The sequence below is a fragment of the Homo sapiens genome, chromosome 4 (genome assembly GCF_000001405.40).
Source record: "Homo sapiens chromosome 4, GRCh38.p14 Primary Assembly".
Taxonomy (NCBI): domain Eukaryota; kingdom Metazoa; phylum Chordata; class Mammalia; order Primates; family Hominidae; genus Homo; species Homo sapiens.
The window spans coordinates 48,685,489-48,711,640 of NC_000004.12; the positions used below are offsets into that span (position 1 = coordinate 48,685,489).

The 26,152-nt window shown below is 37.8% G+C and overlaps 1 protein-coding gene across 6 annotated transcripts in view; it reads right to left on the reverse strand.

Moving 5' to 3' along the window:
* FRYL (FRY like transcription coactivator) overlaps positions 1–26,152 on the reverse strand; it is a 282,923-nt gene that overhangs the window by 188,132 nt on the left and 68,639 nt on the right. For 4 of the 6 annotated variants that reach the window (XM_024453993.2, XM_011513683.4, NM_015030.2 and 1 more), the window contains exon 2: positions 25,031–25,210. The exons of 1 other annotated variant lie outside the window; for it this stretch is intronic. The gene's annotated coding sequence lies outside the window, so the exon portion shown is untranslated. Of the gene's footprint in view, positions 1–1,192; positions 14,546–25,030; positions 25,211–26,152 lie in introns of those variants that run through there. One more of the 6 variants, XM_047450099.1, reaches the window with a different exon arrangement.

Consider the following 26,152-nt stretch of genomic DNA (forward strand, 5'->3'; position numbering starts at 1 on the left):
TATTCACTAAAATAAATATAGATTTGTAAAATAGTTCATGTATCTGCTAGGCCTGATATTTATCACATCTACAGATAACATTTGGGATGCATATTTTTCAGAGTCTACCTAAAATAACTCTGAGGGCGTCATGGACCATGAACTACTGTACCATATCTGTAATACTTGGATGGTTACTAAGAATAAAGAAAATGACCACAGGGAATTGGGAATTGTCTTTTTACCATTTATAAAGATTCCACGTTATCAGGCACATTTCATGTTTTCTTGGCTTTTTTTTTTTTGACGGAGTTTCACTCTTGTTGCCCAGGCTAGAGTGCAGTGGCACGATCTCAGCTCACTGCAACCTCCACCTCCCGGGTTCAAGCGATTCTCCTGCCTCAGCCTCCTGAGTAGCTAGGATTACAGGTATCCGCCACCACGCCCGGCTAATTTTTTGTATTTTTAGGAGAGATGGGGTTTCACCATGTTGGCTAGGCTGGTATCCAACTCTTGACCTCAGGTGATCCTCCTAAAGGCTGGGATTACAGGCGTGAGCCACCATGCCTGGCTGGTCTTGGTATTTTTCTATAGCTAAAATAAGACAAATTTTAAATCTGGCATTGAAACTCAAATTAGCCTTATTTTAAATAACCAGTTGCATATTAGTTTTTCTCTTTAATTAATTTAATCTCCAACCCAACAGAAAGGGTGAAATATCCTGAAATAGTAATTTGTACTAAAAACTCTTAATTTGAAATTCCTTTAGCCAAGTTAGAAAAATATAATATTTCATTTACTCACAGGCATAATCAATTAAATCATGACTAAAGCCAAATCTTCAAAGCCAAAAATCTGGGAAATATGAATAAAATACTAACTTGTTTGTGCCTGTTCATAATATCATTCAAACTTACTGGAATTTTTTACTGTTCCAGCAAATATTTCTAAAATTTATTATCAATACGATAGTTAACAATCCTGCCATAATCTTGATACTTTGCTTATCTTAGGTTCATGGAATCATTTCTCCCTCAAACCTAAAAAAAAAACTAATGTGACAAATAGCATGCCATGTCTTGTGGGCACGGTCCTGCACTGGACAATATTTAATGAGATTTAAGCTATCTTTCATTTCATCTTCTGGGACAAATCACAAAACCAGTCACTACTGGAAAACAATGCAGTTTTAGGAATACAGCAAAAATCCTACCTAGGACCAATTTGTACCACCATGTCTAGGTATTTCATTTTGCTTTGCTTTTGCAGTCTTGCGCTCAGACATAGCAAGTGCTAATGTCATGCTTTTGTTGTATGTGTTTATTCTTCTTGTAATCACACTGTCATGGCACTATGTCACTTTAAGACTTCTCAATATTTGAATATTTGTCCAGAGTTTGCAACACTTCTTCAGCAGACACACAACCTTGCTATTTTCGACTTTTCGCTTTTGATAAGATAAAATAAATGCATCTTTTGGTAACCCTGGAAAATACATAGTTTATACTTCACTGGCTTTCTTTATAGGTTATAATCACTTTTAGCAGGGCTGGATTGGTGGGGGTGGGTCTTTCTGGGACCTTTTTCGTCTGTTTACTTGCAGGACAATCACTTTTTCATCTTGTCTCCATATGGATTACTTAACATGGGATTAATTTTTATTTTCATTCCACTTGATCAGAGAACATTTTATCTGTAAAGGAGAGCAATTTTTACTACTACTTTTAAAATATTATTTTGAGACAGTGAAGGTCAGAGAGGTTTGGTAATTGTACATGGTCATGCTATACAAATAACCATTGCTGTTCTTTCTTATTTAAAACAAAAAAGTTCAAATAAAAACGGACATCAGTTGGTATTTGACAACACTGAAGAGAAGACTGTGAACAGCCCAACAGCACAAGCTTTGAAGGGCAAGACTTTTCACCTACAGCCAGAGTAATAATGTGGAAGCTTCCATGTGTAATAAATAGTGAACAGTGGTCCAGCTCTGGTGCTTGGGAGGGCCTCAGGGCAAATGAGGTCGGGGGGGGGGGGGGTGAGGGGGGAGGGGGGCGGAAAGCCTCGCTTCACTTCAGTACACAAAGCAAAAGAAAGCTGAATGGGTGTTCAAATAACACGTGAACCTCTTTCCTTTCTGAACAGAATTTCTAGAATAATAACAGAAATGCCACAAATTTATCTTAATTTTAGGAAGACATTTGATGTATGTGTCTCTGATATACATTAACACAGGAAACAACAATCCCAAGCAAATAGAGCAAAAATTAAGGGTAAATGACTTTCAGAGATGTTCAATATAGTATTCGCAATACTTGTCTGTATGCCGGGAATACTCCACAATTCGAATTGAACAGAGAAGTTATGGTGCCTGGCATATGGTAAATTTGAGCTCAACATAAGGAAAAACGACTTAATTAGTATGTAAGTAATACGAAGACTGCTTCATAAAAGATTGGGGTCCCTGCTCCGTGAGTCTTTAGGCAACAGTTGTTAGGAATGTTAACATTCTTACAGAATGTTATAAAAGGGATTATGCCACCAGGTAAAAAGATTATGGTAAATTACCTCAAAGATCCAAGCTCAAAACTCTAAATCTAACTTCAAAATGTATTTTACATTATACTTGAATACTAGAGGGTGTGGTGACTTAGAAATTCATATTTCAACTAAAGCTAGAAACCGCACTTTAAGATATGGAATCTATGAAGGTCAATTCCTGCCATTCTACTAAAATTAATTCTGGGAATCTTGCAAGGCCTCTTAAAATGATGCAAAAACCAAAATGACACAAGTGTTCTGACAGCCTTTTAGAGTGAGGATGCAATCGTTTTCAAATAAATTTAAAATGATTGTAGTTCCTGTAATACCAAAATAATTATAGAAAACAAAATGCAGTAACTTCTTTAATCTGCCAAAGATGGTGTAAAACAAGAAAAATTTGCTCACAAATAATCAAGCGCAGGCAGCAAGCAATTAGTCAAATATTGTTTATATCTGACTGGTAAAAATCATTTTAAAAAAATATTTATGGTCATCCCTTTAATTACCAAAGAAAATTCATGATTTGTAAAATTATCAGTGGTTTTATCACTCTTCAATTGCTAAGTAATTCACTTTTTCTCTTGACAAATGCTATAATTTTTAAATTTTTTTAAAAATGAACTTGCATTTAACCTTCTCTTAGTCAATTTTTTTTTTTTTTTTTTTTTTTGAGATGGAGTCTCACTCTGTTGCCAGGCTGGAGTACAGTGGCACGATGTTGGCTCACTGCAACCTCTGCCTCCCATATTCAAGTGATTCTCCTACCTCAGCTTCCCAAGTAGTTAGGATTACAGGCGTGTGCCACCATGCCTGGCTAATTTTTTGTATTTTTAGTAGAGATGGGGTTTCACCATGTTGGCCAGGCTAGTCTTGAACTTTTGACCTCAAGTGATCCACCCACCTCAGCCTCCCAAAGTGCTGGGATTACAGTGTGAGCTACCGCGGCCAGCCTCTTTTTAACCTTCTCCCAAATTTCAATTTTAAAAAGTATGGAAACATACTACACTGACTAATATAATTACAGATTATATTACATGACCTGCTAAAAATGCTGTGTAATGATACTCAGCCATAATATTTGGGCTTCACTGCAAAAATCTAAATTTCTTGCTGATAAAGCAATGTTCTCTGCAGGTGAATTTGTCAACATTTTATTGACTTTACATTTTCAGCCAGAACAGCAGTTATTGTCATATTACTTGATCTAATGAAAACAAGCAGCAAATTTTCCATTCACAATTTTAAGAGGAAGTTTTCTGTAACAGTTTCATTCATTAAATCAAATGAAAACAGCATCACAGTGGTACATTTTCTTATACACTGATGAATGAATATGTATTTTTAGAATAATTTTCATACTACATTTTCATGTTGGCACAGAAAAATGGAATTCAACTACAAATTTATCATATAAATCTTTCCATTCTACATCTAGAGTTAAGTACCAAGAGAAAATTTTTGGACAAATTCAGAAGTAGCCCAGTTAAGACATCAATCTGGGATTTACTACATACACTCCTAACTTCTAAAAATCTATTACTATAAGTACACCACACATAAGTTTACAGAAATCATACACTCGACAAATATTTATTAAGCAGAACTATCTGCCAGTATGAGGGAAAAAAAAGTGAATAAAACAAAAATCCCTATCCTTGCGGAGTTTACATTCCAGTGGGAGCTTAAGCCTTTTGGAGTTACTGCTTTAGAAATTTGAAAGAGGTGGAGATGTCATCTTCCAAAAAGCACATTTCTATAACTTTGAAGAGTTGAGCCCTCCTAATCCAACCATTAATTATGGATTAAGAGCCTCTGATAAAAATCCTCCTTATACTTATTTTCTATGCCTACCATTTATAGTAGGTTTTTTAATTTCTTTTTTTCTTTTTTTTTTTTTTTTTGAGACGGAGTCTCACTCTTTGTCATCCAGGCTGGAGTGCAGTGGCGTAATCTCGGCTCACTGCAAGCTCCGCCTCCCGGGTTCAAGCCATTCTCCTGCCTCAGCCTCCCGACTAGCTGGGACTACAGGTGCCCGCCACCGTGCCCAGCTAATTTTTTTTTTTTTTTGTATTTTTAGTAGAGATGGGGTTTCACTGTGTTAGCCAGGATGATCTCGATCTCCTGACCTCGTGATCTGCCTGCCTCGGCCTCCCAAAGTGCTGGGATTTCAGGCGTGAGCCACCGCGCCCGGCCAGTAGATTGTTTTACAATTTTACTATTCGTAGTAAAAAGTAGTACTTCTTTTTTTTCCATTAAACCAATTACAGCCTTCAACCCTCAATAGAATGTTTTCTGTTTATTCCATTTGTACTGCTCATGAATTTCTGGACTATCAGATTACCCATTATCAACATGGTTTTCCTAGAATAACCAACCCTAATGTATTCAGTGGCTTCATATGGAGACTTTCTTTACTGATTTCATTAATGATTCTCTGGACTCCCTTAAGTTAAAATGCTCTTCTCCCTACCACCCAAACCTATAATTAAAGTCTCCAGAAGTTGCCTACAAAGTCTCTGGAAGATGATACGCCCACGAGAAACACACAATAAATCTTTAACTATTTAACAAAAATTTCAATTAATTCATCCAAAATTTTCTGTTCTTGCTTGTCAGAGGAAGGGAACATGTGACCCCTTAGAAAAATTCTTTTTAATTTAAAGATGCAACATCTAAAATGCTTTCTAGGGTCATCTGTAATCAATGTGTTAACCTTTTATATGTATAGTTTTTTTAATTATACAATGGAACTTATGCTATCTAATTATGACCCTAAGGTCCTATAAGATCAAACATCAGAGAAAATGTGTATAGATGATAGCTATATTTTACATGTTTATATAAAACAATTGCAATGAAAAGGTTTCTAAGTTAATAAAAATGTTAACTAGAAGAGAAAAATGAATAAATAGCTGCTCAAGGTCATAAAGCAAGTAAGTAGCTACAATTTAATCTCCAAAGTTTGTCTTTCCTCTTTTTCTCTGTGTTCACTGCCTCCAGCAAGCTTAGAGAAGCCTGACTTCTGTAACAGAAACTATGAAAGCACAAATTCCCACAGATGATTTAGATGACCCATTTCTCCCAAATTTATAGCCCCAAAACAACTTTTCTAAATTTAAGGAAAGAAGGTCATTTGTCACCTGCAATCTCACAACTTGTACCAAAAGCCTCTAAAATGTTTATGATCTTTGACCCAGTAACTCCATTTCTAAGAGCTTATTCTAGAAAGATAATCAGACATGCACACACAAATTTATTTGCAAAGACGTTCATTGTACTATTATTCCTATGAGCAGAATATTGCAGTAGAGGCAAAGAACAAAAAGGACCAGTTGAAAAAAAATCATGGCACATTCCTAAGATGAAATGTCATCCATCAATTTTTTTAAAAATATATTGACTACTTTGCGATAATATTCCACATACATTTTTACAAAGTGAAAAAAAATACATTTGGAAGCCAAGAACACACCTAGAAGGATACACTCAAATTGTCTCAGTATTCAATCTCCGTTTCCTCATCTATACAATAAGGATAATAAAATCTCTTAGGGCTATTTTCAGAACTAAGTGTAAAAGATGAAAAGTGCTTAAACAGTGCTTGACACACAGTAAGTACTCAATAATGGTAATATTTATTAACTTATACCACAAATGCTGATAACATTTGCAACAATTTCCCAAAAAAGTAATGAAGAAATAAAAATTCCTCATAATTCTAACACCTAGAGGTAGCCACTATGAATTCATTTTACCATCTGGGTTAATTTCTGTCAGGTCTTCCTACATAAATTAAACACTGTATACACTGTATACAACCGGAATCATATTGTACAATATCTAGTGGTTACAAAACATTATTTTATAAATATATTATCTTCATTTAATCATTCCACTAATATTGAGCATTAAGTTCAATTCCTTTAGGCTCAGGAAATGAGTACTGCAGTGCTATTTCATGAATGTTGCTGAGCAACTATAATTTAGAAAATTATTCCTCAGAGAAGAAAATAAAGACTAGAAACTTATAATTTCATAAATAGTAGATGGGGAAATGTTGAATATAGGATACTAAAGAGAAGAAATAAGAAACAATTATTTTTATTAGCCATATTCATGCAGGGAGGCAACAGATTGTATTTAGCCCTGAGTTAGGATTTTTCAACCTCACTGTTGCATTATTTCTTGTGACCTGGAGCAAAGTCCCTTCTTCACATTTCTTACTATGGGCCTAAATCGCCTTTTTGACTAGGTCAGGAAGTAGTACAGTATAATGTTTAGATACAAAGGCTCTGGAATTAGGTTAAGTCTAGAACTCTCCTTTATGATTATTTCCTGAGTTATCTAGGACAAGTTAGTTAAACTCAAGCCTTAGTTTCTTTCTATCTTTTTTTTTTTTGAGACAGAGTTTCACTCTGCCGCCCAGGCTGGAGTGCAGTGGCATGATCTCAGTTCACGGCAACCTCCACCTCCCAAGTTCAAGTGATTCTCCTGCCTCAGCCTCCTGAGTAGCTGGGGCTACAGGCACATGCCACCACACCTGACTAATTTTTGTATTTTTAGTAGAGCCAAAGTTTTGCCATGTTGGCCAGGCTGCTCTTGAATTCCTGACCTCAGGTGATCTGCCTGCCTTGGCCTCCCTAAGTGCTGGGAGTACACTACTGCACCCGGCCTAAGCCTTAGTTTCTCATGTGAAAGTTGGAGGTTGTAATAAATATTGCTTATTTATTATTGTTGTTAGAGGTTTATGTCATATAATTCATGTTAAGGTGTTAGCAAAATGCTTGAAATATGGCAAGTACTTAATAAATGGAAACTACCTGTACTATTATCTATAAAAATAAAAGAACGGACTAAAAGATCTCTTTAAAAAAAGGTTCAATTCCTCATTTCTATAAGTAATATTGTAGTGAATACCTTGATTGGCAATCTTTGTACACATCTTTGATTTCTCCCTTAAGAAAAAGTCTTGAAACAGAATTGCTATTTCAAATGGTATGAAATACACTTGGCTTTACTCCCCTACTGACCTATGTGGAATGCAGACACATACTGCCTGTTAAAAAATGCAAATGTCTTCCTTTTCTCCATGAGTACTTTAAAAGCTGTTAATTGGCCTTTTCACACCTTTTCTACTATTTCTTGGTACAATTGCTTGTCGGTATTTCTTTTTTCCACTTACTCCATTTAAGCTATCTCATTTTCCTTTATATCGCTCTAACATCCCATACACAAATTTAATTATCATAATTCAGTATATTCTTCAAAAAGGTTTTTAAGATTCTTCTTTATCTATCTAAAAACGGAAGTCCTTGTCTCTTACAAATGCATACTGAAGTATTTACAGGTGAAATGTTGTGACAAAGAAAATGACTCAAAAATAATTGGGACCTGCAGAAAGAGGGTGGGTAACAATGGTTTCATAAATGTTTGAGCTGAGGAATGGGCACCTGAGCATTTATTCTACTATTCTCCCCGTTTATTTTTTAATCCCTCTCAGTGGGAGAAAATTGTTTTTAAATTATATCTTTAAAAGAAGACATAAATATTAAAATAACAATCATGGTTTAGCTTCAACCGTTGATACAACAAAACAATAATTCAGCGATTTAAAAAAAAAAAAAAGACCAAAAATACTTAAGCCAAGTTCAAAAGTGAAGGAAACAACTACAGTATTTAGAATCTCTCAATTATATTTGCCAGTAATTCCCACAGATAAAAACATACTACAATGCATTTTTCCAAACCATGGCTTCAGCATACCATGCTGATTCTCCAAAACAATATTAGTATTTATATTGTGCATTACAAGAATACAATTAGGCCTCTGTATGTGCCCACATGAATATTTGATGAGGAGTTTTATTATGTACGAGTATTAAATAATCCAAATTCTCTTGGTGACTAAATCGCATCTTGGTACCAAGTTAGGCACATCATAAGCAATACCTACAGATTAACAGAGCCACCAAAGTGTTTTATTTTTGCCCAAAGGCTGCAAGGAAGACCAGCATAATGAAAAAATGATCTCACTGCATATTTTTTACTATCACAGGGAAATATCACCTGGTTTCTGGGTAGAAAATGCTTGACTTTGGTGTCAGGCATGACAGCAAGAGAGCACAGCAAAGAGATTAAGCTGCATATCTCGGGATGAAGAACAATGGCTGCTCTCCAGGTTTCAAGTGGGGGGTGGGAGGTGGAGGAGAAGACACATTAAAGATATGTTTTCTAAAATCTTTTCACTTCAATAAAAAAATACATTTAAAAAAGTATTTAAAAATTTAGAATACTTTTTTTTTTTTTGAGGCAGTCTTGCTCTGTTGCCCAGGCTGCAATGGAATGGCGCAATCTCAATTCACTACAACCTCTGCTTCCCGGGCTCAAGCAATTCTCCTGCTCAGCCACCTGAGTAGCTGGGATTACAGGCATGTGCCACTGCGCCCAGCTACGTTTTGTATTTTTAGGAGAGACAGGGTTTCACCATGTTGCCCAGGCTGGTCTTGAACTCCTGACCTCAGGTGATCCACTTGCCTCGGCCTCCCAAAGTGCTGGGATTATAGGTGTGAGCCACTGTGCCCAACCTATAATACATTTTTTAAAACCCAGTATACATATACACAATATAATATGATATATTGGAAATAATCTGCAATATGCTTTGGTAGTCTCTAACGTAATTACAGGAAAAACAAGTGTTATATTCTAGTCATTTCCCACTAAAATTATTTCTTGACTTCATAATTTGTAAATCCCTGGCCCAAAAAAACTGCCCCATGGCTGGACATGATAGCTCACTCCTGTAATCTCAGCACTTTGGGGGGCCAACGCAGGGGGATCACTTGAGCTCAGGAATCTGAGACCAGCCTGGGCAACATAGTGAAACCTCATCTCTAGTAAAAGTAAAAGAAGTCAGCTGGGCATGGTGGCACTAGCCTGTAGTCCCAGGCTAAGGTGAGAGGATCACCTAAGCTTGGTAGGTAGAGGCTGCAGTGAGCAGTGACTGTGCCCCTGCACTCTAGCCTGGGCAACAGAGTGAGACCCTGTTTCAAACAAACAAACAAACAAACAAACAAAAAATTGGCCCACATCTCCTGCTTACTGAGCAAAGGAGAAAATGCGTAAGAATCAGTGAACTACTGTTTAAACATACCCCTAAGAGAAGATAACCTCCAGAGTTTCTTCCTGTTCTAGAGCTCTGTGGTGCTGTAAGAGTTGCTCTGAGACTGTGATCCTCTAAAGGGTACATACATCATTACATCTCCCACAGAAACTAGAAAAGTGGTGTTCGGAAAAATAGAGTACTAAATAAAGATGTACTAGCTTCAACTGATAATGTGCAAACTACGCATATATGTAAAGGTCTCCGTCATTTAAAGGTAAGTTTTCCACGTATGATTACAGGTAAAAATCAATGCTACTATGTATCATTTGAAAATTCATAAGCATTAAGATGTTAACATATATTTACTGTAAATATATATATATATATTTGTATGTGGGTACAATGTATGACAAAATACATAAAACAAATGCCACAGAACAAATACTATTCTTGTTACTTTGTCCATAAATATAATAAACTGCAAAATTATGATATAGGCATGAGCAAAGACTTCATGATTAAAATGCCAAAAGCAATTGCAACAAAAGCAAAAATTGACAAATGGGATCTAATCAAACTAAAGAGCTTCTCTACATCAAAAGAAACTACCATCAGAGTGAACAGGCAACCTACAGAATGGCAAAACGTTTTTGCAAGCTACCCATCTGACAAAGGTCTAATATCCAGAATCTACAAGGAACTTAAACAAATTTACAAGAAAAAAACAACCCCATCAAAAAGTGGGCAAAGGATATAAATAGACACTTCACAAAGGAAGACATTTATGCAGCCAACAAATATATGAAAAACAGCTCAACATCACTGATCATTAGAGAAATGCAAATCAAAACCACAATGAAATACCATCTCACGCCAGTCACAATGGCGATGATCAAAAAGTCAAGAAACAATAGATGCTGGTGAGGCTGTGGAGAAATAGGAATGCTTTTACACTGTCGGTGGGAGGGTAAATTAGTTCAACCATTGTGGAAGACAGGGTGGCGATTCCTCAAGGATCTAGAACCAGAAATACCATTTGATCCAGCAATCCCATTACTGGGTATGTACCCTAAGGAATATAAATCATTCTACCATAAAGACACATGCACACATATGTTTACTGCAGCACTATTTACAATAGCAAAGACATGGAACCAACCCAAATGCCCATCAATGATAGACTGGATAAAGAAAATGTAGTACATATACACCATGGAATACCGTGCAGCCATAAAAAAGAATGAGTTCACGTCTTTTGTGGGGACATGGATGAAGCTAGAAGCCATCATCCTCAACAAACTAACACAAGAACAGAAAACCAAATACCGCATGTTCTCACTCATAAGTGGGAGTTAAACAACGAGAACACGTGGACACTGGAAGGGGAACATCACACACTGGGGCCAGTCAGCAGGTGGGGGGCAAGGAGAGGGAGAACACTAGGACAAATAGCTAATGCATGTGGGGCTTAAAACCTAAATGATGGGGGGATAGGTGCAGGACACCATTATGGCACACGTATACCTATACAACAAACCTACACGTTCTGCACTTGTATCCCGGAACTTAAAGTATAATAAAATATATATATACATAATCAAATTAAATTACTAACTTTTAGTTTCAATGGTATTATTTTTCTCCTGCCTGCTTAATGATACTATTATTAAGCAAGAAAATAAGAAAAAAAAAACATAAGCCCAGTATAAAAGAAAAATAACGATAAGAGATCTATCTATCTATCTATCTATCTATCTATCTATCTATCTATCTATCTATCACTTTCACAAGTCAACCATGATCAACAGCACTCTTAAATCCATCAGGTTTTGGCTCAAACAATCTCTGCTTTTGTCTTAAAATGAATAATTTTTCTCCAAAAAAAGTCAATTACAAGGTTTTTTCCTATATGCATCAAATTTCAATAAACTATTATGGTGTAACTGAAGAAGAAGAATAAAGGAAGCTACATCGAAGACTTGGAATTTTAAACCACAATAAAACCTTGTACACTAAGGATAATAAGGTCAATTCCTATATTTTTATATACTATAAAATACCATATGATACAGTAAAAGACATTTCTTATAACAGCCTGAAAATTATGACTCTTACTTTCTTTCCATTTTTACCTAAATTTTACCTAAAATTTCCATTCTTTTGAGGTTTTGACTTATTTGGAAAAAATCTAGAATTTTACCAAAATTAATATAATTTCAGATTTGTAAACAAGGGAAATGTTTACAAACTTTTTTTACTTCAAAAAATAATGTATTTTTACAGGTGCCAATTTTAAATCTCCAGCTCTAGTTTACATTTCTCACCTTTCTTGGATTTCTCAATGTTGATTATAAACTAACTAAAATGAAGCATACTTCTATTTTTATTTTTTGGGATGGAGTCTCACTCTGTCCCCCAGGCTGCGGTGTCTCAGCTTACTGCAACCTCTGCCTCCTGGGTTCAAGCAATTCTCCTGCCTCAGTCTCCTGAGTAGCTGGGATTACAGGTGCACGCCACCACACCCGACTAATTTTGTATTTTTAGTAGAGATGGGGTTTCACTATGCTGGTCACGCTGGTCTTAAACTCCTGACCTCAGGTGATCCACCCGCATGGGCCTCGCATGAGCCACCATGTCTGGCCCTAAAATGAAGCATACTTTTAAAAAGCTTCATAGAGAAGTACTTAAAGAAAAAAATGAAATAGAGAATTTGCATTGGCAAAGAAGAAATAAGAATGGTAATGATGAGGATAGTACAGAATGGGAATAGCATCTCTGGAGACTTTTCATTAAAGACCTGTTAGTGATCAAGTTGAAGGATACAATTGAACCAATTGATGTTGAGGCATTTCCACAGGCACAGGGAGACCTGCATTTAACATTTACTGGGGATCAACCTAAGCTCCAGGAATCTATACTCAGTGGCACTTACACACACAGCTGCTACCATCAAGGAGTTTACAGACAAGCTGGAAAGGAGACATGGGCAGTAGCATGTTTCAAGTGCTTTGAGAGAAGTTACCTAAATATGTTCAAGCTGCAACCAGGTACAAAGGAGACAGTCATCAACCTGAGTGGAGAAGGGAACAGGAAAGACTTCACTGAAGAAGTGGTGCTCACAGCTCCTGTTACCAGAAGACTTACTATAGCCACAATCTGTAACTACGCGAATGGGTTCTTGCCTCTCTTTGAGAAGCTAGCTAACTGATGACTTTTAAAAAGCTACATAAGTAACATATTCAGGTGTTAATAAACAAGATGTTTTTCCTGTAAGCCTCCCTGCCACAATTTCTCAATGTGACGTGATGGGCTCCAAAGCTGGATGCTATCACACACCCTCTGAGTTACACAACAGCTCCTGGCTCTGTCCCAAAAGTGGTTATCTTGGTATTGCCTCCTCCCCATGTTTGTGAAAGAAAATACTGTGCTGGGTGAGATTTACACTGATTGACAGTTCCTCTCGCTCTAGAAATGTATAAAGCATAATAAGCAGTTTATTCAGATCAACATCCTCTGTAGAGAAAATAACACATTTCCAAGTTAGTAACAAAACAACATTCCAAATTAGTTTGGTCACTATGGATGACCATATAGAACATGCCACCACAAAGCTTAATCCTTCACATTCCAGTACACATCCTGTAACTCTGAAAAAACATGCATATAAGAGTCAGTAGGCACCACCCCCACCCCAACCCCCACAAATAGGCTTTATTCTCCACAGTGGTTAAGTCAGTCTAAACAAGTAACAAATATAGGAGGGTAGAATTCAGAATTGGTTCACTGCACTCTAACAAATGGTGCCCTAGAAATCCAAGTTAATTAAATACCCATAACAACAGCAGCAACGACTAATTACCGAGAGCCTACTATGTGTGACCATCTAAGATGCTTCACATATGTTACTTCATTTTAACCCAAACCAGCCCATAATTTCAGTAAATGTTCAACTTTACAAATGTGGAAACTGACAAAGCTAATAAATGAACTGAAAAGTACTGTACCTCTGGATTATATTTTAAAGTATAAGCTGTTATATGGAGTTGAGATAAAATTCTCAAATTAAAATGCAATTATTTTCAATGGCTGTTTGGAAGATAAAATGCAATTATGATTTCAATATGTCCTTATATTGATTCTGAACCTCAGAACAGAAAAAGCTAGAGAACTCTCAAAAAGGATAACTAAACATAATTAACACATCATTTGCTTTAAATATTTCATGAAAACATAAGAGTTTGCCCTATCAAAAGTAAAAAATAGTGGGGGATGGGAAAGAGATCATACTGTGACCAACAAATCACAGAGATGCTTATTTGAAGACTAAATTCAATCCTCATCTGTTAATATCTTACTATTTAAAGTTCAATGAACAACTTCATAAAGGAAAGAGATTGTCCTTTGTTTCAGCCAAGATTTTTAAATCTTTAATCTAAAATACATGCTTCTCAAAGATGGATGCTAACAATTTAAACAAGGTGCTAATTCAATCAGTTGCACAATTCTGGCTCAGCAGTTTCTCTATTACAGGGAAAATGTGACAAAGTAAACAAGCCCTACCTGTGGTTTAACATGAAAATTCCCTCCACTCCACATAAATCGCCCTTCTTCTTCTGGGTCCCTACATGCCTCTTTTCCTTTTTCCTCCTCTATTTTGAGAGAATATTTGGCCCCTGGATCAGTTTACTGGTGTTCAGGGTCATCTGAATTGTATCTTTTGAATATTGTCTACAGATCCAGTTCCCAATCTAGATTTGCTACTACTCTTAAGAATTTTAACATACATTTAAATCATATTAAGCTAGATATTAATGTTAACTAGAATATTTATTAGAGTAAAGCAAAAAGACAAAAAAAATTTAAGTGCTCTAAAAACCTAACACCAGGTATAGTATAATAAAGGAACAGAGTCCGACTGCCTATCGAGCACTGCACTAGGCAGTGAGAGACACGAATGATGAATAAGACACCACCTACCACCTTAAGGAATTTGTGGTGTGGTGTGACTCACCCAGCTAGCTCTATACTGTCTCAGAAGGAGATTGTGGTAGAAAGTTCTAATACGGTACAAATGCAGTTATTACAGAAAAACAAAAGATTTTTTTTTAATATATCAGGCTTCTGAATTAATGCCATGATTATATTTGAAGCTGTAATACTCACGTAGAACTTAAAATGAGAGGGGAAATAAGACACCGGGAGGGCAAAGTGAGACACTGGGTCATTTCTCCCACCTCATCAGGTTTTTTTCACCATCACTACTAGTTACATAAATCCTACGTGAAATGCAGTATTTTACTTATGACAATTTTACATTTTAAGCCTTTCATAAACCTGTCAAACCATGAGCTACAATGAATATTTTTGCTTTTATAGATTCTCAGTTTTAAAAATAGTAACTTTCAGCTAGACACAGTGGTCACGCCTGTAATCCCAGTACTTGGGGAGGCTGAGGTGGGAGGATCACTTGAGCCCAGGAGTTCAAGACCAGCCTGGGCAACATAGTAAGACCCCATCTCTAAAAAAAATCAAAATCCTAGCCAGGCATGGTGGTGTGTGTTTGTAGTCCCAGCTACTTGGGAGGCTGAGGTGGGAGGATCGCTTGAGCCCAGGAGGTCAAGGCTGCAGTGAGCTATGATTGCACCACTGCACTTCAGCCTGGGTGACAAAGCAAGACCCTGACTCAAAAAAATTAAATTAAAAAAAAAAAAAAACTTTCATCACTCCAAACTAAATGCATTATAATTGAAGCTTACTGTACCAAATAATTTCACTCTTACCTGTAAGTACTTGCCCTAGTTACTGTTTCAAAGTAATTTTTAAAAAAAACTTAAAATCACATTGCAGAAACTAGACTCAAGGTGCTTATTTAATCTTAGGCAAGCTCATTTAAAAATTCCATTAAGATACTTCTACCTTAAAATAATACAACCAAAATAGTTTTCATTAGTTAATATTATTGAAACACCAAAACTGTTAAATGTGACTTTAGAAAATTGACTTTTAAATGGGTTTAAAAGGTTTAGTTTCTACTATATTTCAGATAACAAAAATTCAGTATAGGACCAAAATTATTATCATCGCCCAACTCTTTTATTGCATCAATATGTATTAGGAGACAAAAACAACTATTTAATTCAAGAGGTGATCCAAAGAAACTAAAAGTTAGATTAATATCTGTAAAGTCATATCCACAACAAATCTGTAAAAACCCCATTTCCAATGTAATTTCAGAGAAATGATTTCATATGAGAAGGCAACACAATGTATGCAGTATAGTTACACAATACTAAGCCACAGTTACCCACACAAAATCACTTAACCTCATTTATAGGAAGAAAAGGAGAGGAAAAAGAAGGGAGTGAAGGAAAAATTGAATAAGAGAGAGACAGAAGGAAACCTGTAAGGATTTTTAAAAAGAGAGTATATGAAATCATTTTGCAAGTTGTAGGCAGTAAATAATATTAGTACCCTTCCCTTTACAAAAGAAACATGCTGGCTGGCGCTGATCTATTAACAAAATCAAGTATGAGAATCAAGTAAACTAATCCTTGTCAATAGACAGACTATTACATTTACTCTAGAAAGATACACGCTAAGAAGTCAGCTAAGCGGACAATGAGTCCAAAGGTATCTCAGATAAAAGCAGAGGTGCATTCAAATACCTACACATTCATTATTTTATTGACCATTTTCTGCTACCTGGCGATCAAATATTTAATGCCCTGAATATGCCATTACCCCCAGTAAGTCATAAGAACTCTAATATCGTCATACTGTCTTATAAACATATTTTTGTCAACCCAATATACAGAATATAAGCATTATTTGATGTGCACTGAACTATAAAAGCTGCTTCAAACAGCAAGTAACATTCTTCTGTTTCTAAATGAGGTTACTCCCAAAAGTTCTATTCAAAATTTTATAAAATTATACTTGAGACTTCCTTCTTTTATAAGAAATTTGAATGACTGATCCACCACATGGAATGCTCCCTAATCTCATACAATTCAACGTATATCTACTGGGTTCCTATCAGTTTTAAAAATAAAAAATAGGCCAGGTATGGTGGCTCATGCCTGTAATCCCAGCACTTTGGGAGGCTGAGGCGGGCGGATCACCTGAGGTCAGGAGTTCGAGACCAGCCTGGCCAACATGGTGAAACCCTGTCTCTGCTAAAAATACAAAAACTAGCCAAGCATGGTGGTGCATGTCTGTAATCCCAGCTACTCAGGAGGCTGAGGCAAGAGAATCGCTTGAACCCTAGAGGCGGAGGTTGCAGTGAGTCGAGAATGTGCCACTATACTCCAGCCTGGGTGACAGGGTGAGACTCTGTCTCAAAAAAAAAAAAAAAAAAAAAAAAAAAAAAAAAAAAAATGCTGGGCGCGGTGGCTCACGCTTGTAATCCCAGCACTTTGGGAGGCCGAGGCAGGCGGATTACGAGGTCAGGAGATCGAGACCATGGTGAAACCCCGTCTCTACTAAAAATACAAAAAATTAGCCGGGCATGGTGGTGGGCTCCTGCAGTCCCAGCTACTCGTAGAGGCTGAAGCAGAATGGTGTGAATCCGGGAGGCGGAGCTTACAGTGAGAGGAGATCGGGCCACTGCACTCCAGCCTGGGCGACAGAGCAAGACTCCGTCTCAAAAAAAAAAAAAAAAGAAAAAGAAAGAAAAGAAAAAATACATAATTTCTTTGTACTCCAAATAAATACATGAATATTTCTCAACATAAACTATGATAAATCTTAGAATTGACACAGCAAAAGAAAACTGAGTATATGTTGAGTTAAAAAAAATTAATCTTGGGATCTAAGAAGGATCAGAGAATAGTGGGGGTTGGTGGAGAAGAGAGGTACAGATGTCATGATGGAAGATCGGAGATGAGCTAAGAAAAGAGGCAGAAAAGTACCCATCTTGGCTGCCCAAAGAAAGTTGTCTCAGGAGAGCAGATCTTGAAACCTAAAGAAAATGATAAAAGCTTCAATACCAGATGGGATCTCATTCTTCCACAATCATAGAACCACCGTAAGTTTTTGAGAAAGGAAGTGATATGAACAGACTGTTGACTCTAAAAGTTGTCTTCTGAAGCAGACTAGATGGGGAATAGGGACTAAGACAGTATGGGACCAATTTTTAAAAATCTATCCCAGTAGTCAAGAGAGGGAATGAACAAAATCCTGAATTAGAACTGAAAGAATTTTATAACTGAACAAATAGGCACCATCACCTTTCACAATTACTACAACAGTCTGCTAACCAGCTCCTGACTGACTTCTACGTGACCCCCTCCAATGGATTACCCCTGCCACAGCCAGAGTGATCTCTTTACAAAGCAATCAGATGATATCTCAGGCCCCTCAATCCCTTCTCCCTGCATGCCAGCTAAACTGGTCTTTTCATTTCCTAGAAGTCCAACTTCGTTTCTGCCTCAGGATCCTTTTACACACTGTTTCCTATGTCTGGAAGCTGCCACACTGACTTTTTTCCACCAAGCTAATCCTAAACATCCTTCAAATCTTAGCTTAAGTGTCATTTTCTCAAAGAGGCAACTCACAACCTCTCCAATGTAATAATGTGTCCCCACTTTTACATTCTCTCTTAGAATTCTTAACCACATATTTAGACATAGTTTGTGTATTTGTGGAACACCTACTCCCCTCTTAGACCATTCCCTGAGAGCTAGGATTATACTATTTGCCACTAGTGCCTAGCCTGTACTTGAAACCCGATAGGTACTCAACAAATACTTGTTGAATAAATAATGAATAAATAATAAATAAAGTCAAAAAGGTCACTTCAATTTCTCATCTGGGAAAATGGCAATACCATTACCTGATAAAGGGAACACAGGTTTGTGGATAAAGTCACATTCTATCTAAAGCATGTTGAACTTGAAAAAATAATGAAATAGGTCTGACGTGTACAAGTGGAGACACTAAATGTGGAACAATCACTTATCCAAAAGAATAAATGTAACATTAATGAAAAAGAATGAGGAAAAAATGAAGCCAGTTGAAAGCAGAACAGAGAATACCTCTGTTTAACAGGAAAAAGAAAACAAAGACAAGAGATTGGTATTTCTAATGTGTAAAGAGCTTATAAAATAAAAAACACCAACAAACAGAAAAGGGGGCTAAAGAAATGGACAGTTGGAAAAAGAAAAAGAAATGCAAATGCCTCTTAGCCATATAAAAAGATATTCAATATCACTCACAAAGGGGAAATTAACACTACAATGAGATTCCATCTGACAAAACCCTCAAAATTTGACAACATATTCTGCTGGCAAGGTTATGTATGAAAAAAAGGCACTCTCATACATTACTGATGGGAACACAAAGAGGTATAACTTCTTATGAGGATAAATCTAGCAATACCCAAGCTTTTAAAAAACAACAACAACAACACCACAAGGCTGGGCATGGTGACTCACGTCTGTAATCCCAGCACATTGGGAGGCCAAGGCAGGGAGATCCCTGAGGCTAGGAGTTCCAGACCAGACTGGCCAACACGGCAAAACCCTGTCTCTACTAAAAAATACAAAAAACAGGCTGGGTGCAGTGGCTCAGGCCTTTAATCCCAGCACTTTGGGAGGCTGAGGCAGGCGGATCACCTGAGATCAGGAGTTCCAGACCAGCCTGGCCAACAAGGCAAAACCCCGTCTCTACTAAAAGTACAAAAATTAGCTGGGCATGGTGGCAGGCACCTGTAATCCCAGCTACTCAGGAGGCTGAGGCAGGAGAATCGCTTGAACCCAGGAGACGGAGGTTGCAGTAAGCCGAGATTGAGCCACTGCACTCCAGCCTGGGCAACAAGAGCGAGACTCCGTCTCAAAAAAAAAAAAAAAAAAAAAATTAGCCAGGCATGGTAGCGCACACCTGTCATCCCAGCTACTCGGGTGGCTGAGGCACAAGAATTGCTTGAACCCAGGAGGTGGAAGTTGCAGTGAGCCGAGATCATGCCACTGCACTCCAGCCTGGGTGACGGTGAGACTGTCTTAAAACAAACAAATAAACACTGCATTCTCATTTACCCTTTGGCCCTGCAATTCCACTTCTAAGAACCTGCCCCAAACACAGTGGAAAGATATAAAAAGATTTATATATCCGCAAGGTTATGCATTTATATTATACCATTTATAATGGTATATTATACCACTATAATATACCATTATATATATTGGTATATATCTTGCTATATATATATAGCAAAAGATTATAAACAATCCAAGTCCCCATCAATTGGGAACTGGTTAAATAAACTATGGCACATTCACCCAATGGGTTATTATATAGCTATAAAAAGAAATCAGTAATACACCACTAAGGAGTGATCCCCAGAATATAACAAGTAAAAAAAAAAAACAAAAAACAAAGTATATGGTATCCTATCATTTATATAAGGAGACATATGAATATATAGCTTGCTTATATTTTTCTTAAAAAAAAAAAAACAAAGTTTCTAGAATATGAGTACTTATACGGAGAAGAAAACAGAATTTGACTTTGGAACCATAAAACTATTATACATGATTATAAAACAAAGTTACATTTTAGAACAGTTATTAAATATGAAAGATAATGAACTTAATTGTATATCCAGTTGGTGGCATAACTATACAGAGAACAATTATTAAGACTAACTTAAACAGTATAGTATTTCTGAGAGCAGCCCCTATGACCATACTTCCTGGTATTCACACCCTTAAGTATTCACTATTCACCTCCTTTTTTTTTTGACACAGAGTGTCACTCTGTCGCCCAGGCTGGAAAGCAGTGGTGTGACCTCAGTTTACTGCAACCTCTACCTCCTGGGTTCAAGCGATTCTCCTGCCTCAGCCTCCTGAGTAGCTGGAACTACAGGCACACGCCACCACTCCTGGCTAATTTTTGTATTTTTAGTAGAGACAGGGTTTCACCATGTTGGACAGGCTGGTCTCAAACTTCTGACCTCAGGTGACCTGCCTCAATCTCCCAAACTGCTGGAATTATAGGCATGAGCCACTGCGCCTGGCCTCACCTCCCTTTTAGTGTAGACTGAATTGAAAGACTTGATTCTAGGAATAGAATTCAGCTGAATACCTTGTTCCTAGCATCATTATTCACAACAGCCAAAATGTGCAAAGAACTCAAATATCAGTTGATGGATGGATAAAATGTGGTATGTAAATACAATGGAATATTATTCAGCCTTAAAAAAGAATGAAATTCTAACACGTACTATAACATGAATGACCTTGAAGACATTATCCTGGGTGAAAAAAGCCAGTCACAAAAGGATAAATACTGTAACTGCATGATTCCACTTATGAGGTACCTAGAGGGGTCAAACTCTTGGGAAAGTAGAATGGTGGTTGTCAGGGGCTGGGCAAAGAAGACGATGGGGAGTTATTTAATGGGTATAGAGTTTCATTTTGTAAAGATGAGAAAGTTCTGGAGATGCATGATAGTGATAATTGCACAACAATGTGAATGTATGTAATGCCACTGAATTGTACACTTAAAATAGTTAAAATGTTAAGTTTACATTATGCACACTTTAGCACAATAATTTTTTTAAAAGGATGCAGCAAGTGTGATGGGCTCCCACTCTAAGAATAAGTTACAGAAAGAGCTTGGTTTCCATCTTGGATGCCCTCTCTCCCTTGCTCTGAACTAACAACCAGCTGCCCATGTTGTTAGCTGCCCTATGGAAGGGTCAAGGAATTGGCCTCTGGCCAACAGCCAGAAAGAACCTGAGACCTGTTAATAATCACATGAGTGAGCTTGAAAGCACCCCCAGAAGGCTGTTCCTTTGTGCCTCTTTTACTTGAGTTGTGGGATGATTGCAGCCCCAGAAGATACTTGGATTGCTGCTTTATGAGAGACTCTGAGCCAAAAGCACCCAGCTAAGCTGCACCCCAAAGAAACTGACTCACAGCAACCATGAGACAATAATGTCACTGTGTTAAGCCACTAAGTTTCAGGGTAGTTTGTTACACAGTAATAGATAATAATATATATAGTAATTTGACTAAACATTGCTAAGAGAATGTGCTAAGTCCAAAACAATATTGCAAATTCTTTTTCATTTTTTAATTATTTTTATTTGCATCATGATTTTTTTATAATATGAATGTGCAGAAGTGCAAATTCTATTTCTGAGTATATACCCAAGGAAAAAAAGTACACAGATCTGCCCAAAGATATGTACAAGAGTGTTCATAGCAATTTTATCATTACTTTTTTAAAAGGTCTTAAGGATACATCCTGAAATACTTATAAATAAGATACATGATGTCTAGAATTTGCTTTAAAATAACACAGGAGTGAGAGAAAAGTTGGTGGGGAATAGCTAAACAATTTGGGCATGACTTGATAATTACTGAATCTGAGTCTGAATACAAAGCAATTGGTTACACCAGTCTGTTTACTTCTGCATATGTTTCTCATTTTCCATAATAAAAACTTTAAATAAATAAGACAAAAAGTTTATTTTACAGACACTAGAAAAAAAAAATCCTGAAATAAAAAGAAGATCCTCTTTCCAAGACCTTAGAAAAGAAACTGTTCCAGGTAATAATGAGGTCTAAGGCAAGAAGTGATTGAAGTGAGAAGTAAGAGAACTTTGAGGCTCCAGTTCTGGTGAACTAATGCTGACTTTAGCTACCTGCCAAAGAATCACACCCTTCTCCCAAATTTGTTTCAAAAAGTATCTGTATTTCTTTTTCTTTTTTTTTTTTGAGATGGAGTCTTGCTCTGTCTCCCAGGCTGGAGTGCAGTGGTGCAATCTTGGCTCACTACAACCTCCGCCTCCTGGGTTCAATTGATTCTCCTGCCTCAGCCTCCCCAGTAGCTCGGACTATAGGCACGTGCCACCACACCCGGCTAATTTTTTGCATTTTTAGTAGAGAGGGGGTTTCACTGTGTTAGCCAGGATGATCTCGATCTTCTGACCTCGTGATCAGCCTGCCTCGGCCTCCCAAAGTGCTGGGATTACAGGTGTGAGCCACCACACCTGGCCTGTATTTCTTTTTAAGAGACAGGGTGGTAGGCACCTGTAATCCCAGCTACTCAGGAGGCTGAGGCAGGAGAATCGCTTGAACCCAGGAGGCGGAGGTTGCAGTAAGCCGAGATTGAGCCACTGCACTCCAGCCTGGACAACAAGAGCGAGACTCCGTCTCAAAAAAATAAATAAATAAATAAATAAATAAAAATAAAATTAGCCAGGCATGGTAGCACACACCTGTCATCCCAGCTACTCGGGTGGCTGAGGCACAAGAATTGCTTGAACCTGGGAGGTGGAAGTTGCAGTGAGCCGAGATCATGCCACTGCACTCCAGCCTGGGTGACAGTGAGACTATCTTAAACAAACAAACAAACACTGCGTACTCATTTACCCTTGGGCCCTGCAATTCCACTTCTAAGAACCTGTCCCAAACACAGTGGCAAGATATAAAAAGATGTATATATCCGCAAGGTTATGCATTTATATTATACCATTTATATTAGCAAAAGATTATAAACAATCCATTCACCCTGGCTGGAATGCAGTGGCGCAATCATAGCTCACTGCAACCTCAACCTCTTGGGCTCAAGTAATCCTCCCACCTTACCCTCCCAAGTATCTGGGACTAAAGGTGTGCAACTATCACACTTGGTTGATTTTTAAATTTTCTGTAGAGATGGGGTCTTGCTGTGTTGCCCAGGCTGGTCTCAAACTCTTGGCCTCAGGTCATCCTCCCACCTGGGCCTCCCAAAGCACTGGGAATACAGGCATGAGCCATCACACTTAGCTTCAAAAGGTATCGTGTGTTTTTTTTTTTGTTTTTTGTTTTTTTTTTTGAGATGGAGTCTCACTCTGTCTCCCAGGCTGGATGCGGTGGCGCGATCTCGGCTCACTGTAAGCTCCGCCTCCTGGGTTCACGCCATTCTCCTGCCTCAGCCTCCCGAGTAGCTGGAACTACAGCGCCCGCCACCACGCCTGGCTAATTTTTTGTATTTTTAGTAGAGACTGGGTTTCACCGTGTTAGCCAGGATGGTTTCGATCTCCTGACCTCGTGATCTGCCCGCCTCGGCTTCCCAAAGTGCTGGGATTACAGGCATGAGCCACCGCACCCAGCCCTAGGTATCTGTGTTTTTATAAAGGGTCCCAGAATTAGAATCACTGATCTAAGATGTAGTGACCCTGGAAAATTGCTAACATGAAAATAATGGATGCTAGACACGTTAAGGAAGCATAATGAGAGCCACTAATATGATATTGGAGTGGACAGAAAGAGACGGTCTGAGTGAAATGAAGGAAAGTCCTCAAGGTCAGTAGGAGAGAAGGATAAGAATGTGGAAAGAAAGAGAATAAAAGAAAGACACCAACTTCAAAACAGAAAGATTAACTGAAAAATGTTCTGACAGTGGAGATCTTATTCTTGCCCCACAATTCAACAAAAATAGATCTAAAGTATCTCTATCAGATAGGTTAGGGAAGAAAACATAGCCTCAAAAAAAACCAAAAATCTATCAATTTGTTCATTATAGTTCATAAAGTGTTGGGATTATGAAACCACCAAAAATCCTTACCAATCATTTAGTCTAATTCACCCATTTCAGACGAGAAAACTGCGTCTACCAAGGCTAATTAACTGGCATTCTAGAAAACTATGCAATTAATGATTAGAACTAGAGCTAAAATGTACCCCAATTTTCACTCTATCTGCCTTTCATCTTTATCTAATACCACATTTTCCATTTGGTAACTTACTTCTCTATTATGCTAAATGTCATTATATATTTTCATTCTTAAACAGTAGGCATTGGTCGACTGGCTCAAAATGAACCTATTTTAATCATTTTCTTTTAAAGGTCTCCCATTTCTGCTCAATTTTACTCTTCCCTCACTACCCCTATGTGTTCTGAGTAAATATCAGAGTTGCCTAGAAAACTTGTTGGCTAACTGACATCTATGCTTCCAAAAAAAAGTCAGAATATGAAAAGGCACACATAGTGCTATGCTATAAAAAGAAGAGCTGGCATTGCACACCTCTCTTATCATTTCCATGAATGTATACATAATTTACAATTGCCAGGAAGTAGGAGGATATTCTTCAACAAATGGGCTGAAAATCCCTAAATAGGTAAGACAGTAACAAGATAAACTATCTCAGCCTTACAATAAGGGACTATAGAGTACAAATAAGGCACATAAAGTGCACAGGCATAGTTGTTCACATGTGTTTATATTCTTCATAAACATGCATGTTCTGTGCACAGAATGTAATATGTAAAAAATGTTTTGAGGTCTTGAAAAATCTGATGTTTTTGCCACTTTTAGATTTGATTTAGAAAAATCAGCAAAAAGTGCAGGTATTAACTCATATATAAAAAAGGAAAGAAGGCCTAGAAAAGAGGAAATATACATGTCCTTACCACTTAGAAATGGTTGTTGAGGCACAGAGTTTGTAGAAAAGACACCAAGTTTGGAAAGGATCCATCTAGAAGCTTTTTTGATCTGGAGCTTGTACTTTACAGGCACTCGAGTGGGCACACTGGTACAAAGCAGTAGTGAGTGAGTCACCGTGTGTGAAGCAGAATATGGAATGTTCTAGGCTGGAAGATTAAAAAATAGGAAATATGGTCATCACTAACAGCCATGCTTACAACATGTTAACATTTTAGCAGCTTCCGTATATCACTAATCAAAAGTCTGCAAGTTCCTCAAAGGTGAAACATCATCCAGTAATTCCACACCCAGGTATATACTCCAGAGAAATGAAAACATACCCACACAAAAATATGTATACAAATGTTCATAGCAGCATTATTTGTAATGGTCAAAAGGCAGAAACAACCTAAATGTCATCAATTGATGAACAGATAAATAAAATGTGGTATACCCACAATGGAATATTACCTTGCCATGAAAAGGAATAAAGTACTGATACATGCTACAACATGGATGAATCCTAAAAAAAACATTATGCTGGGGGGAGGAGCCAAGATGGCCGAATAGGAACAGCTCCGGTCTACAGCTCCCAGCGGGAGCGACACAGAAGACGGGTGATTTCTGCATTTCCATCTGAGGTACTGGGTTCATCTCACTAGGAGTGCCAGACAGTGGGCGCAGGTCAGTGGGTGCAGCGCACCGTGCGCGAGCCGAAGCAGGATGAGGCATTGCCTCACTCGGGAAGCGCAAGGGGTCAGGGAGTTCCCTTTCCTAATCAAAGAAAGGGGTGACAGATGGCACCTGGAAAATCAGGTCACTCCCACTCAAATACTGCGCTTTTCCAACGGGCTTAAAAAACGGCGCACCAGGAGATTATATCCTGCACATGGCTCAGAGGGTCCTACGACCACGGAGTCTCACTGATTGCTAGCACAGCAGTCTGAGATCAAACTGCAAGGTGGCAGCGAGGCTAGGGGAGGGGCGCCCACCATTGCCCAGGCTTGCTTAGGTAAACAAAGCAGCCGGGAAGCTCGAACTGGGTGGAGCCCACCACAGCTCAAGGAGGCCTGCCTGCCTCTGTAGACTCCACCTCTGGGGGCAGGGCA